Source organism: Homo sapiens, chromosome 13 (assembly GCF_000001405.40).
Source record: "Homo sapiens chromosome 13, GRCh38.p14 Primary Assembly".
In the NCBI taxonomy this organism is placed as follows: domain Eukaryota; kingdom Metazoa; phylum Chordata; class Mammalia; order Primates; family Hominidae; genus Homo; species Homo sapiens.
In genome coordinates, this window is record NC_000013.11 from 79513410 (window position 1) to 79529388 (window position 15979).

The 15979-nt window shown below is 36.1% G+C and overlaps 1 protein-coding gene across 3 annotated transcripts in view; it reads left to right on the forward strand.

Moving 5' to 3' along the window:
• The window catches only part of NDFIP2 (Nedd4 family interacting protein 2), a 74923-nt gene that overhangs the window by 32255 nt on the left and 26689 nt on the right, over nt 1-15979 (forward strand). For all 3 annotated transcript variants that reach the window (NM_019080.3, NM_001161407.2, NM_001394685.1), the window contains exon 2: nt 7401-7566. In NM_019080.3, coding sequence (NP_061953.2) covers nt 7401-7566 — 166 coding nt within the window. The remainder of the gene's footprint in view (nt 1-7400; nt 7567-15979) is intronic.

Consider the following 15979-nt stretch of genomic DNA (forward strand, 5'->3'; position numbering starts at 1 on the left):
TGTCATCTTTTAAAAGTAAACTTAAAATATATCTAACACATATTGTGATATAAAACTACAAAAAGTGAGCTGAACATCATCCCATGATGAAACATATAGATATTAATGACATACATTGTGGGCTTTTCATGATAAATTGATGGGAGCTAGATTGTTGGATTTTCAGAAGACTTTGAGAGGGTGAGTGGAGCCCAGCAGGGAGCAGCGTCCTGGAAGATAGACAACCTTAGAGGAAAGAAAGTGTGAGAAGGTGTCAACCCAGCACACTCATGTTTTCCTCTCCTTTATGTTAGTTTTTTTCTCTTCTTTTTTTTTTTTCCATTAAGGATTAGGAGATCAGCAAGCTATTAATATGTTCAGATCGCATTGACCTATTGATAAAAAGTCATAATTGTAGGACAGATTTGTAAATACTTTTTTTCTTGGCTAAGATCTGAGTAAGGTAAATAGAATTTTGAAGAGAGTATGTTTTTGTTGATATTTTGTAAGATTTCAAGAAGCATATCTCTTTTAATTAAAGCAGTGTAAACACAACTAATGAATGTGCCATATAGAGCATGTTGTATTCCATGAGGGAATCTTGGTATTTAGTATATTTATGTTGCAGTTTTAACACATGAAAAGGAATTTGACCAGAGTTGTGATTCTTTTTTAAATAGAAATTTATATAAGATCTTTATCCCACCCATTTGGCTTCTTTGTTTTGAGAAGTTAATGTTCTCCAGCCCTCTCTCCTTTAATGTATTAGGTTGGTGCAAAAGTAATTGTGGTTTTGCCATTAAAAGTAATGGCAACATATTAAGAAAAGTAGTACTAGCTGTTAGAGATGGCAGAATACTTGTGTTAGCAAGGTTCTTCTCTCTCAGGGCTTTCCATCTTATGTCATTATGACTGGTGACCTATATTATATTTTCTTTAAATTTTAACGGAAGCTGAAGCAGAGTACTTTGGGGGACTTACTTTTATTTAATATTTTCACAGTGTTCAGCAAGACAGACATAACCTCCACTTTTGGAGAGCTGTTACTTTAGCTGGGAAAAAGGTTGTAAATGAGTGATTATATAAATAAAATTGCTATTGTGATAAGTACTCTGAAGAACAGGGTTAAAGTTAAGATTATATCAAAGAGTTCTAATCTACATTTGGGAGACAAGAAAGGCTTTCCTCAGAACTTGATTTTAAACTGAAATCTGAACAATATGTAGAGTTAGCTAAGCAGTGAGGGTTAGGAGGAAAATAGTTGAACATATATAAATACAGATTCCTTTTTTGTATGTGATTATGCTTAGTGTTATTTAAAGCAAAGGATTAGTGAGTGGTTATACAGTCCTGGAGCTCAGAAAAACAGTCTAGTCTGACAATAAAGTTTTGTTTTCTGTTCTTTCATCACTTCTTGCCTGCTTAATTATCCCCCCCTTACATTTTTTTAAAAAGATACTCTTTCTGATTTGCATTCTTCGAAGTTGTTTGGTTACAATTCCAGATTATATCATTTTCAATAGCAGTTGAGCATCTGGATTGGAGCTCATGGTGCTCTTTGTGTAGACCATAAAATACAGTCATGTGTGGCTGAACAATGGGGATATGCTCTGAGAATGCAATAGGTGATTTCATCTCATTGGGTGAACATCGTAGACTAATTTCACAAACCTAGATGGTATAGCCTACTACATACCTTGGCCGTATGGTATAGCCTACTGCTCCTAGGCTATAAACTTGTACAGCATGTTACTGTACTGAATACTGTTGTAACACAATGGTGAGTATTTGTATATATAAACATAGAACAAGTACAGTAAAAGTTTGATATAATCTTATGAGGCCACTATCTTATATGTGTCCCATCGTTGAACTAAACGTCATTATGTGGCATACAACTGTACAGATATGTTCTGTCATACTAACAAGAAATGTTTTTACTAGCAGAAGATATACCTGTGTTATATTATAAAATTTAAAACCACATCACTTTGTTTTCAAAACAAGAAGCTGAAAATTAGGCATGATTTGCTAACTTGCAGCTTTTACATTAATATTTATTTTCAGCTTATAGATTTGTTTCCTAATGGTTCATATTTTTGCTTTGTCATATGCTAGCTCCCACTAGCAGGAAAGTGTCTAGAGACAGCAGAGGTTTAGTGGAAAAGACATTTGGAAAATAACCCTAAATTTAAGAAAATTCTAATTTGCCAAATTGAGTGTTTATATGAGAACGACTGCCATAAGTCAGTTTTATTGGTAGAAAATCTAGCTCAGTATGCTGAGCAGCACTATTTAATGGGTACATTTCTTCTGAGCTGTAGGTTTAGAACACTTAGGCTGTCTGCAGAGATCTCTTATCACCTGCTATTAATTCCTAGGAGCACAGATGAGGTAGCTCACCTTCTTCTTGGGTAACTTCAATGAGTAGCTTGACTCTGCTATTTGATTTTATTGTAATTCTAATCTGTTTTTTTTTTCCCCTAAATCAGGTGTTAAAAAGGTGACACAGAATGATATACTCTAAGGTTTTTCTTTTTTTTTTTTTGGGTGGGGGGCAGGGGTCATAGTATCTTAGAGTTAGAAGGAGCCTTTGTCATCTGCTCTAATATTCCACTGAGGACAAGAGGTTCATGATATATAGATTGACTATTTAATTTTACAAAATTGGAACATGATGAATTGGGTGGGACCCTGGAACAACAAGTATAAAGTGGAAGTATCTTGGGAAAAACAGGTGTATGCTCACTCTAGTTATACCACAGCCTTGCCAGATCATCATCCAAACTCTGCATGAAAGTATTTGTTGCTTCACTAAAAATCTAGTGCCATGGGTAGCTCCAATAGTAAAAAAGTTTTTGTTTTGTTTTGTTTTGTTTTTTGGAGACAGAGTCTCACTTTGTCACCCAGGCTGGGGTGCAGCGGTGCGATCACTGCTCACTGCAGCCTCCACCTTCCGGGCTCAGGTTATCCTCCTGCCTCAGCCTCCCAAGTAGCTAGGTCTACTTATTATTTGTAGAGACAGGGTCTCCTTGTGTTGCCCAGGCTGGTCTTGAATTCCTGGGCTCCAGTGATCCTCCCATCTTGGCCTCCCAAAGGGATTACAAGGTGTGAGCCACTACACTCAGCCAAGTTTTTTATTGAGCTAATATTTATCTCATTGCAATGACTCTTATTCCTGGATCTGCCCTCTGATGCTAAATATAGTAATAATATGATAGTATACATATTCATTGGTTTTTTAGATCACTTTTTTTTACTACTTTAAAAATGATTTTTTAAAAATTACAGTTCTCTTCCTGTAGGTCTAACCTACATCCAAATTAAAACAGAAAAGAAACAAGAAGAGGTCACATTGCTGGCTGACCCACCAGACTCTAATGTAGTGCACTGCTTGCCAAGCAACACTTGATAGCACATCTACACATTCTTATCTTGGTTCTTTTAGAGAACATTCAGTGAGGTCTCTAGCTTCTCAAAAGGAAAGCATCCAGTTATTACATTAATGTTTTATCACCTTAAGATAGAATGAAAGGTTATTATATAGGATACATGCCAATAAAAGTAAAAGAAACAATCTTTATGCACTGGAAGGCTGTACTTCCAGCTAGAGTTAATCATAATGCTTACAGTTTTCTTGTTATTAAAAATGCTCAGTATATATCTATAAAGACTAGCCACAAATGCTTTTAAGAGAGCTCTGTTGTCATTTTTTTTTCTTTAGACAAAAAACAATTTCGGTTCATTCACTATACAACTTTTCACCACCCTGGTTGATACATTAAAGACAGTTTTGTTTTCATGTGCTATATTGCCCACAGTTTTTCAGGAGGCTCATAAGTAGGAAGAGCAGGAATGATGGCTTTTGAGGTGATGTATAAATAGGGCACAGAGCTTAGGCATCACTGTATACAAGTAGGTCCCCTCCTCTCCTGTCTCCCCTCTCCTCCCTTTTTTGCTGTTTAGATGATTGTTAATGAATGTCAAATAGAACCATTGGAGAACATGATTAAGAAAAATTATTCTCAAGTAGAATTGTCTAATTTGATAAATATGACTTTATTTTAACCCTCGTGATGGATTTGTTTAAAAGGCAGTCAAAGTTGGTTAATTCACAGAGGCAATTTTATTGCCGGCAAAGATATCAAAATTACAGAATTTTATTTAAAGTAAATTGAAAGTTATATATGCTACAGTAGGCAGAGGTTGTTGACTGAGTTAGTGGGTTTTACTGTTGATGCATGGTAATATTCACATATTATAATTTTGTCAAAACCGTAGGTGTTAGCTAGGGCAGTTGAAATAAATTAGGGCATGTTTTATAGGCTCCAAAGCTTTATTTTGGAGCTTATATATAAAAGTGTTTGTAGTTATTCCTTTCATTTTAGTTATTTGAGTAAATTTTGACAGTTTTTGAAAGTAAGTTGGTCATTCTGGGGAGCACATTTATGTATTCAATGTAGTAAAGAGTGTTTTTTTTGAGAAACTGGAAGAGTGCTGTTTTGCATATAAGATTTTTCGTTTGTAAAGCTCGCTGTATCTGCATTTGCAGCTTTAATAAGAGATGTGGAAAAGTGGTTTTCCCTTTTTGACACCTTCACAATTAATTGTTTAGGTGATATTAACAAGTAGACATCTGTATTAACTTTTATTGGGCTTACCTTGCTGATCTAACATTTTTGGTCTTAAAATATTATCAGTTAAAGATAATTAAGTGAGGAATTCTCCTGGGTACCATGTAGTAGGAAGACATGGGAGACGGATGGTAATACCAAGTGCAACATGTCACTAGTCAAGAGGGTAGTCATTTAGTGCCTACTTGGAAAAGTGCTGCAAGAAATATAAACTTCATTAGGCTCATAATCATAAAATTCACTTACGATTATTTGGTTTTTGAATTCAATTTATGTGAATTGATCTCATTATGTAAATCTTAATGTTATGATGTTTGTGGAAAGAGTGGTCTTAGTAACTTCATAAATGATTTTAGGCATGGTTATGACAGTTTTGTTAAGTTATAATACATTCACTATCTCACAAAAATGTTTTGCTAGTGTGATCATTTACCAAGACATGGAAAAAGCAATGTGTAGTAAATTGACCTCTTGTTTTACTTTGCATTTACTTATTTATTTCAGAGATGAGTGACTACTGATTGGATTGTTAGAGAGTACCACATAATTTCTCTTTAAGGTGATGAAATAAACTAAATAAAAGGGAAGAAGTGGGAGAATAGTATTTGTTAAATCCTTCAGTGTGTTGGTTGTTATATTAGATGCTTTCCAAATATTATTTTACAAGCCTATGAGGATTTTGGCTGCATTCAGAGCTAATAGGTGAACACTAAGACATGGAGAAGATTTTATCAGAGGTCCTAAAAGGTAGAGCAAAAATTTACATGCTGATCTTTCTTTTTTCTTTCTTTCTTTTTTCTTTTTAAGACACTGTCTTACCCTGTCATCCAGGCTGGAGTGCAGTAGCGTGGTCACGGCTCACTGCAGCCTCATCCTCCTAGGCTCAAGTGATTCTCCCACCTCAGCCTCCTTAGTAACTGGGACTACAGTCACATGCCAGACTTGACCATTTTTTGTATTTTTTGGTAGAGATTGGGTTTCACCATATTGCCCAGGCTGGTCTTGAACACCTGAGCTCGAGCAGTCCGCTTCCCTCAGCCTCCCAAAGTGCTGGGATTACAGGTGCCAGCCACTGTGCCCAGTCCAACATGCTGTTCTTTCTAAATTCCAAAATTCATGTTCATTTTGCTACATCACATTCAAATTGGTATGTATACTAGCTTTGTGACAAAATTTATTTGGGAGATTATTTTTAACATTGAATTTCTTAGAGTAACAGGAATAAATTAAAATATGAAAATTAAATAATATGGAAAACTAGTAGTTTCTTTTGAAATAGAGATTCCAGTTTTAAAAGTATCTTAAAAATTTTTAATAAGACTTTTTGCCAAATATATTTAAGGATCAAAGTACTTCTTGATGAATCACTTTTTATCGTATTGATGCCTTTGACTCATCTTAGTTTGTCTGCATGTAGTTATTACCAATTCGTGAGGAATGGCCATTTCAAAGTTTACCATAAATGAAGTAAAACGTCTTCAGTCACACTGCTTGGCTTTAATTCCTTACTCTACTCTTTCTTACTGTTGTGACATATGGCAAGTTACTTTAGCTTCTGCACTTCCTGTTTGTTGTTTTCCTTTTATTGGTGATAATAACAGTCTCTGTCTCCTAGGATCTCCTAGGTTGTTGTGGAGATTCAGTTAAGTAATTCAAGATCTCAACATTTTATTAGCATTTATTAACTCTCAAGGAATTTGTTGAGACGAAGAGCATTTGCTAGAATTTTATATACACATCAACTTATTTTGCTTTAGTAATTTTTTTGTTGGTTTGTTTGTTTTTGAGACGGAGTCTCGCTCTGTCACTTTGACAATGTCAAGGCTGGAGTGCATTGGCGCAATTTTGGCTCATTGCAACCTCTGCCTCCCGGGTTCAAGCAATTCTCCTGCCTCAGCCACCCGAGTAGCTGGGATTACAGGTGTGCGACACCACACTCAGCTAATTTTTGTATTTTTAGTAGAGATAGGGCTTCACCATGTTGGCCAGGCTGGTCTCAAACTCCTGGCCTCAAGTGATCCACCCACCTTGGCCTCCCAATGTGCTGGTATTACAGGTGTGAGCCACTGTGCCCAGCCTTGCTTTAATAATTTTTTTTGTACTTGGGAAAACCTACTTAGCGTACTCCACATTTTTAGAATGTTTATCTGTTTTATTCCATTTCATTAATTCAGCTTTCATTTCTGATTATTCTAGATTCACACATTTTTTCAGGAGGCTCATAAGTAGGAAGAGATGGTAGTAGAGATGGTATTGTGGCTATGTTATTAGGATTTTTGCTTTTCTTTGTAGTATGTAATAACTCTACTGTTACAATTGCATACTTCCTCTTCCCCGTAGCACCAAACCTTCTCCTTCTACAGTCTCTCCGATTTCAATAAATGGCTTCAATAGGCCAGAAACCTTGGAGTCTTCTTTTGGTACCTGATTTTAAAATTACAGTAGGCCCCCTTATCCAAGGGATGTGGTAGACCTTTGATATCTACTTTAGGATCATATGAATTTGTATTTATTTTGAATCATGATATTTTCTTTGTAAATTCTTAATTTGACCTTCCTCTTTATTGTAAAGAAACTGAAAATTCTGAACTTCTTAATAACTAAGTCTTTACAAATTGTTTTTTAAAAACTTTGAAATACTAGTGTGATTTTGTATACTATCTAAAAATGCCATTTTCTTTGTGTTTGGCCAAAAAGCGATACTGTGTCTGAAATGATAAAATCAGCTTAAAATTTAAAAAATAATTAGCATTACATTAATGTTTTGTTTTTCTTTTGTTCTCTTAGCTTCTTAATGAAGAGGATAACTCAGAATCATCGGCTATAGAGCAGCCACCTACTTCAAACCCAGCACCGCAGATTGTGCAGGCTGCGTCTTCAGCACCAGCACTTGAAACTGACTCTTCCCCTCCACCATATAGTAGTATTACTGTGGAAGTACCTACAACTTCAGGTATGAAACATCTAGTAATGTTTTTATTAGTTCTTTTTTTTTTTTGACATTTTGGTTTTGTGTAATTATCATGTCTGTTAATGGGCTTATAAACATATATACACATGGATATTTATATATGTATATACATACTGTGTGCACATATAAATATACAGATGTATACACACATATATATGTGTGTATGTATATATGTGTACGTACTTATATAACCATAAAACAAGATGATGGTGAGTGTGAATGAGAATGTGGTATATGTGACTGTAGGTGAAGGGTGTACGTAGTGATATCCCATACATATGATAATTACTGAATACAAGGCAATAATTCCTGTTTGCTACTGTTCATCTTATTCAGGTCACTCTAAAGAACTAATCTATTTTTCTGGCTACAATTTTTATTTCCTAAGCAATGATTAATTATTCAGTTTGATCAGTTTTGTATACCAGTGTGATTTAGTATACTATCTGATGATTCTTTAATTTTATATGTGATTATAACTTCTCTAGTCTAATAATTTCTAAATAAATTCTAAATAACTTCTCTAAATATTTTATATACTCATTATGAAACATTTTCATTTTAAAAATCAGTTACTGAAAAATATTTTAACAGAAAAAATTTTTCACTAGAACTTTTCATCTTATTCTGTATTTAACATCATCTACTGCTCTCAAATTAATGCCAGCTTTCTCTGGTTAGCATTTTTGCATTTGGAATGTGTAAACTCAATATTTCTTCTACCAAATTCATTTACTTTTTTTGTGTAGTTACTGAAAATCATTTTTTCATGGTGTCCTCACTAATGAAGCTAATACATGCTTACTCCTTTTATTTGGTTTTCGTTTTGCTTTTTTTTTTTTTTTTTGAGACGGAGTCTTACTCTGTCGCCCAGGCTGGAGTGTGCAGTGGCCCAATCTCGGCTCACTGCAAGCTCTGCCTTCCAGGTTCACGCCATTCTCCTGCCTCAGCCTCCCAAGTAGCTGGGACTACAGGCGCCCACGACCACGCCTGGCTAATTTCATTTTTGTATTCTTAGTAGAGACAGGGTTTCACCATGTTAGCCAGGATGGTCTCTATCTCCTGACCTCGTGATCCACCTGCCTCAGCCTCCCAAAGTGCTGGGATTACAGGCGTGAGCCACCGTGCCTGGCCTACTCCTTTTATTTGTATAAAATGTTTATTTGATGATTATGCTTGCTCATTGCCCAGTTTTATGCACAGTTTTTATGTTGATAACAATTTTGTCTTTAGCTATAAGATTTAACAGCTGGTTTGATGCCTGTTAAAATTTATTATATGCTAAATAGTAATTCTTCAATATTTTACAAGTTTTCACAATATAATAATAAGACTTTGCTACCTTAGATTAAAAAAATTAATTTGATTATAATTTTGAAGAAAGAAAATGAGTTGTTTTCCTACTGATGTTTGTCTGAGTAATGAAAGATACTATGAATAATTTTAAGAGTGCAATTGTGATACCATTGCTATTGCTGTGTAACAAACTACCCAAAATATAATAGAGTAAAATATCAATCATTTATTACTGTTAATTCTTACTGTTCTGGGAGTGGACTGGACTGAACTATGCTCTTCTCTCCTAGAGTCTTATGTGACTGTTGTCTGATGGTGGCTGGGGTTGGAATTATCTCAAAAGCTTCTTTTTTCACAAGTTTGGTGGTTTATACTGGCTTCAGCTAGGACCACAGCTGGGGCTACTGGCCAAGACAGTTATATGTGGCTTCTTATTGTGGCTTACACTTCCTCAGTAGATGGTGGCTGGGTTCCAAGAACAAGCATTCTGAGAGAAAGTCAGATGGAAGCTCTATCACCTGTTATGATACTGTCTCAAATGTCACATGGTATCCCTTATGCCATATTTTGTTGTTAGAAATGAGTCACTAAGTTTAGTCCTTATTCAAGAGGAGAGGAATTCATCTCTACTTCTTGATGAGAGGAGTTTTAAAGAACTTGAAGACTAACTTTTAAAACTCTCACAACTGCATACTTACCCTTCCCCGTAGCACCAAACCTTCTCCTTCTACAGTCTCTCCTATTTCAATAAATGGCTTCAGTAGGCCAGAAACCTTGGAGTCTTCTTTTGGTACCTGATTTTAAAATTACAGCAAGCCCCCTTATCCAAGGGAGATGTGTTCCCAGAACACCAGTGGATGCCTAGAGCTACAGCTAGCACTGAACCCTATAAATACTGTGTTTTTTCTATACATACTGTTGTTTGTTTGTTTTTGTTTTTGTTTTTTTAAGATGGAGTTTCATTCTTGTTGCCCAGGCTGGAGTGCAATGGCGTGATCTTGGCTCACTGCAACCTTCACCTCCTGGGTTCAAGCGATTCTCCTGCCTCAGCCTCCCAAGTAGCTGGGATTACAGGCATGTGCCACCACACCTGGCGAATTTTGTATTTTTAGTAGAGATGGCATTTCACCATGTTGGTCAGGCTGGTCTCGAACTCCTGACCTAGGGTGATCTGCCCACCTCGGCCTCCCAAAGTGCCGGGATTACAGGCATGAGCCACTGCGCCCAGCCCATACTGTGTTTTTTTAATATATACATACTTATGATAAAGTTTAATGCATAAATTAGGCACAGTAAGAGATTAACAACAACTAATAATAAACTAGAACAGTTATGGCAATACTGTAATAAAAGTTATGTGAATGTAGTCCCTCTTTCTCTTGGAATACCCACTCTTCTTCATGTGATGATATGAGATGATAAAATGCTTATATGATGAGATGAAGTGAGGTGAATGACATAGGCATTGTGATGTAGTGTTAAGGCTACTATTGATCTTCTGATGATATGTCAGAAGGGGGATTGTCTACTTCAGGTGATCCTGGACTGCAAAACCATCACGATGTCGATGAGTATGGATCCTTGATAGTTGGAGGTTATTTTGCTGAAACCTTTTGGAAGAACATTGTAACTGGAAGTTGTTGTCTCTTTTTTATTAACTCATTGAAGTATTGCTGCAGAGGTTGTAGTGCTTCAGTGATCATATGGGTGACTTTGATACTGTGCCCCATTAAGGATCATATTCTATAATTTTGACATTTAATGTCCGTGCCATTTGAAACACTTCAGCAGATTTTGGTAATGGCCACGTTACTGATTCTGCTTCATTTTCTTCTTCATCTTCCTCTTCCTCTGTAGATGACTCTAATTCTTCCATATCCTCATTATTAACACTTCTTGATGGCCATCAGTATGCCCTTCTACTTCTTCATCAAGCATATTGGCAAATCCTTCTCCACCAACTTGTCTTGCTGTGTGATTTTCCTGGCTTCTCTGCTGATCCCCAAGAAGCCTTTAAAATCATTCATAACTTTACTCCAAACATTCTTCAGGGAGACATCTACAGTTTCTGGTTTTAATTCATCAGTTGCAGCTTTGATGAATGTTACTGCATCAGCAATAGTGATTTCCAGCACTGTATTATGTCATGTTAGGGGCTGCATCGATTGCTGATCAAATGTGATTAAATACTAGGCAAGTGTATGTGGCCTTGACTGACCAGATGATGCACTGGTCAAGGGACTGAAGCAATGAGGTTATATTTGCAGGTCAAAGTAAAACCTTGACATTTTCATTTTCATAGCAAACAGATTCAGGATGGTCAGCTGCATTGTCTATTATTAATAGGACTTTAAATTTCAACTGTTTTCTTCCAAGTAGTTTTTCACTTGGGAGATGAAGCATTGGTGGAACCATTCCATAAACAAGATAGCTGTCACCCATACTTTCTAATTATGTTGCCAGAATTTGGGCAGATAATTTTTCATTTTTTCTTTGAGGGCACATGGATTCTTCACTTTGTACACTATGCTTGGCTCTGTCATATGCCCTGCAGTGTCACCACACGGTACCTGAGTTAATCTGTCCTTCCATGTTTTATGCCTTGATGCCTCCTTTGTACTTTGATAAATGTCAGTTCTTTCAGGCATCTTCTCCCAGAAGAGCCCAGTTTCATCACAATTGAAAGCTTGTTTGGATGGTATCCTTTCTCCTTAATCAGCTTCTTCAACTCTGCCGGAAATGTGACAGCAGCTTCTTCATTAGCAGACACAGACTCTCCAGTAATTTTATATTTTTTAGTCCAAACCTAATCCTCAATCTGTGTGACCTTTCTTTATTTGCAGTAAATGGCTCAGTGTCTCTGGTTTCAGGAGATTCCTTGCTGAAATCTTTGTATAGGCTCAGTGCCTTCTGGTGCAACACATTGCCATCAGTCGGAACATGTTTCTGCTTTTGTCCTTCACCTATAAATTTACTTCCTCTTCCATCTTAACTAAGCACTTATCACACACTGTGGCCAAAACTTTTGCAGTTTGAGATGTGACAGCAGAACTAGCACAAATTTCTTTTTCCTTCACAATTTCACAGATAGAAGATTCGTTTTTACTGTAGATCTTAGCAACCTCAGCCTACGTTTTTTTTCTTTATTAAGGCAAGAACTTTCACTTTTTCACTTACAGGTAGCGCTTTATGGCTCTCTTTGGCATATCTGAATTGCCAGCATCTCTACTCTTGTGTTTTGGAGCCATTATTAAGTAAAATAGAGTTACTTGAATGCAAGTACTGCAATACTTCAGTTGTAGATTTGATAACCTAGAGTTGCTAAATGACTGACGGGTGGGTAGTGTTGACAGCGTGTATACACTGGACAAAGGGATGATTCACATCCTGGCCAGGACACAGTGGGTTGGTGTGAGATTTTATCATGATATTCAGAACAATGCACAATTTAAAACTTATGAGTTGTTTATTTCTGCAGTTTTCTATTGAATATTTCTAGATTGCAGTCGACCTTGGGGTCACTGAAACTGTGGAAAGCAAAACCGTGCATAAGGCAGAACTATTGTATATGGTTTTTCTCTTTTAATTTTTGATGAAATGAAATATGTTATTATATGTCTTTAAGCTAGGCCATCTCCATGTTCTGAAATACACACTTTTCATGCCATGTTCTAATCTCTTCTGGATTTAGATTTGTGAATATTTTGAAGTTTTAGCAATATTAGTGAGATCTATAACTTATGCTCTTAGCAGATGGAGAGAAGAGGTGGAGCTGCTAAAACTTCAGACAGGAGATGCTGGTAGTATGACTAAGGTGCTGGTGGTGAAGAGTATGTGGATTCAAGCAATATGTGGGAAGTAAAAATCAATGCCTTGGTGACAGATTGGATAAGGATGAGGGAGAAGGGGTTAAGAATGATGCCCAAGTATTACTGAAAAGGAACAGGTTTGGAATGAAGATCAAAATGTTATTTTTTGGCCATGTTGAATTTTAGGTGCCTTTGAGAACTAAAGAGGATATATCAAATAGGCAGTCAAGTGATAACAAATAGACCCACATCAAATAAGCCTGAAATTCAGAGGAGAGGTTTGGGCTAGAAATAAATGTTGTAAATCAACTGTGTATAGTTGGTAGTTGAATTCTTAATCCATGAATGAAATAGCAAGGAAGAGAGTAGAGAGGAGGAAGAAGTTGTCTATGCTGAGGAACTACAACATTTAACAGTGAGTAGGGGAATGTTAGCAGGTCAACAAAAGAGAAGCTGGAGAGTTATGAGAAACACTAGGATAGAGTCATCCAAGGACTTTCAGGAGAATGAAGTTAGATAAAGGGTAACACAAGAACCTTGAAGACTAGCAACACAAGTAAAGAAGAACTATTAGGCAGGTAGGAGAGGACTCTGAAAAGAATATTCTAGAAGCCAAGAGAGGAGAGAATTTTAAAAAGAAGTGGCTGGTCAAGAATTTAAAAAGATTATACCTAGCACTTACTGTGTGCTTACTGCATACCTGCCCTTTCTCCCAAGTTCTTAGGTATATAGCTCATCTGATTTTCCAGCCATCCTGAGTAAATCACATCTGTAAAAATGAGGTTCATTTTACAGAGGAGAAAACAATCATGGAGAATTAAATAACTTGCCTGTGTTCACATAGCTTCTCAGTGGTAAAGACAGAATTCGAACTCAGATGTATCTAATTCTAAAGTCCACAGTCATGTTTTATAATTGCGGTGTCCTGTGATTTTGGCTATTTGAAGATCACTGGTGACTTTTGCCATAATGGTTTCTTTGGAGTGTTACAAATAGAAACCTAGCATATAATGGGTTAAAAAGAGCACAGGTAGAGAGGAAGCAAAGACAGCAAGTGACTTTAATAACTAACAAATGGAAGCATCACACATGCTCAAAATAGGGGAATCATTAAATACATTTTCAAATGATAGTATTTTTAAATATTGCATAAACATTAAAATTAGGTTTTTTGAAGGCTGTTTACTGATATCACACACTTTGAAATAGCAAATTTAAAAAGTAGAATATAAAATGACATATATGATGTGATCCCCATTATTTAAGAAATAGATGAACATTTCCACGTAAAGGAAATTCCAAAATATGTTAAAAATAATCACTTAGTCTGGATGGTATAGTAATTGGGTTGTTTTCACTTTCTTTAAAGATGGTCATATGCTGCATAACAACATTTTGGCCAGCAACAGACTGCATGTGTATACAATGGTGCTGAAAAATTTCTGTCATCTAGTGACATGGTAGCTGTCGTAAGGTTGCACTACTCGGTGTTTGTGGCAGTGTTGGTGTAAACATATCCAATACTCTGTCGGTTGTGTACAAGTCTAACACATACAATTATGTACAGTATATAATACTTGATAATGGTAATGACTATATTACTGATTTGTATATTTATTAATCTTAATTATTATTTTAGAGTGTATTCTTTCTACTTATAAAAAACAAATTAACTGTAAAACAGCCTCAGGCAGATCTTTTCAGGAGGTATTCCAGAAGGCATTTGTTATCATAGGAGATGACAGCTCCATGTGTGTTATTGCCCTTGACGACCTTCCAGTGGGACAAATGTGGAGGTGGAAGACAATGATATTGACGATCCTGACCCTTTGTAGGCCTAAGCTAGTGTGCGTGTTTGTGTTGCAGTTTTTAATAAAAAAGCTAGCTATGCACGGTGGCACATGCCTATAATTCCAGTACTTTGGGTGGCTGAGGTGGGAGGATCACAGCCTAGGAGTTTGAGACCAGCCTGGGCAACTTGGCGAAACCCTCATCAACAAAAAATACAAAAATTAGCTGGGTGTGGCAATGCACACCCGTAGTCCCAGCTGCTTGGGAGTCTGAGGTGAGACAATTGATTGAGACTGGGAAGTTGAGGCTGAAGTGAGCTATGTGCCACTGCACTCCAGCCTGGGTGACTGAGTGAGACCTTGTCACACAAAAAAAAGTTTAAAAAATTTAAAAAATAGAAAAAAGATTGTGGAATAAGGATATAAAAAAGAAAATATTTTTGTACACTGTACAATGTGTTTGTGTTTTAAGCTGTGTTCTTATAAAAGAGTCACAAAGTTAAATTTAAAAGTATATAAAGTAAAAATACAGAAAGCTGAGATTTATTATTGAAGGAAGAAAAATATTTTAAAATAAATCTAGGGTAGCCTAGGTGTACAGTGTTTATAAAGTCTACGGTAGTGTACAGTAATGTCCTAGGCCTTCACGTTCACTCGTCACTCACTCACTGACTCACCCAGAGCAACTTCCAGTCTTCTAAGCTCTGTTCATTGTAGGTGCCCTATCCAGGTCGGCCACTTTATAATATTTTAGAACATATTTTTACTGTACTTTTTCTATGTTTAGATGTATTTATATAACACAGATACTTAACATTGTGTTGCAGTTGCCTAGAGTATTCAGTACAGTAATATGCTATACAGGTTTGTAGTCGGTGAGCAATAGGCTATATACCATATAGCCTAGTTATGTAGTAGGCTCTACACTCTAGGTTTATATAAGTACACTCTATGATGTTCCACAAAAACTAAATTGCTTAACACATGTCTCAGAACATATCTGTGTTAGTAAGTGATGCATGACTGTATTTTAAACATGAGCTCTGCTAGATTTTGCAGAGATTATATTCTCCATTAGGTCACTTTTTGGCTAGTTTTTATAGATCTGAGTAACATAAATAATAATACGTGACATTTGTGTAATGCTTCACAGTTTACAGAGTCCTCTTGAATACTCTTCTATTTTATCCCATAATAGCAAGTAACAGCCCTGCTGTGTCAGTTTTATGGATGAGAAAGTGGAGCTTCATAGTGTTTAAGTGATTAGCTTGAGGTCACACAACTTCTAAGAGGAGGATTTGGAGCTGGAGCTTGCCAGACTTTAAATCCTCTGGTTGAGAACCACTCTTTTAAAAGGGTAGATAAAAATAAGTAAAATTTAAAAGTGAAAATTAAAGCTGTAGCAATTGAGTTTTCCTACCCAACTTTCATGTATTAGTGGTAGGGATTTTTTTTTTCTATCTTGAGTATTAAAACCTTTCAGAAATTTACATTCTTGTT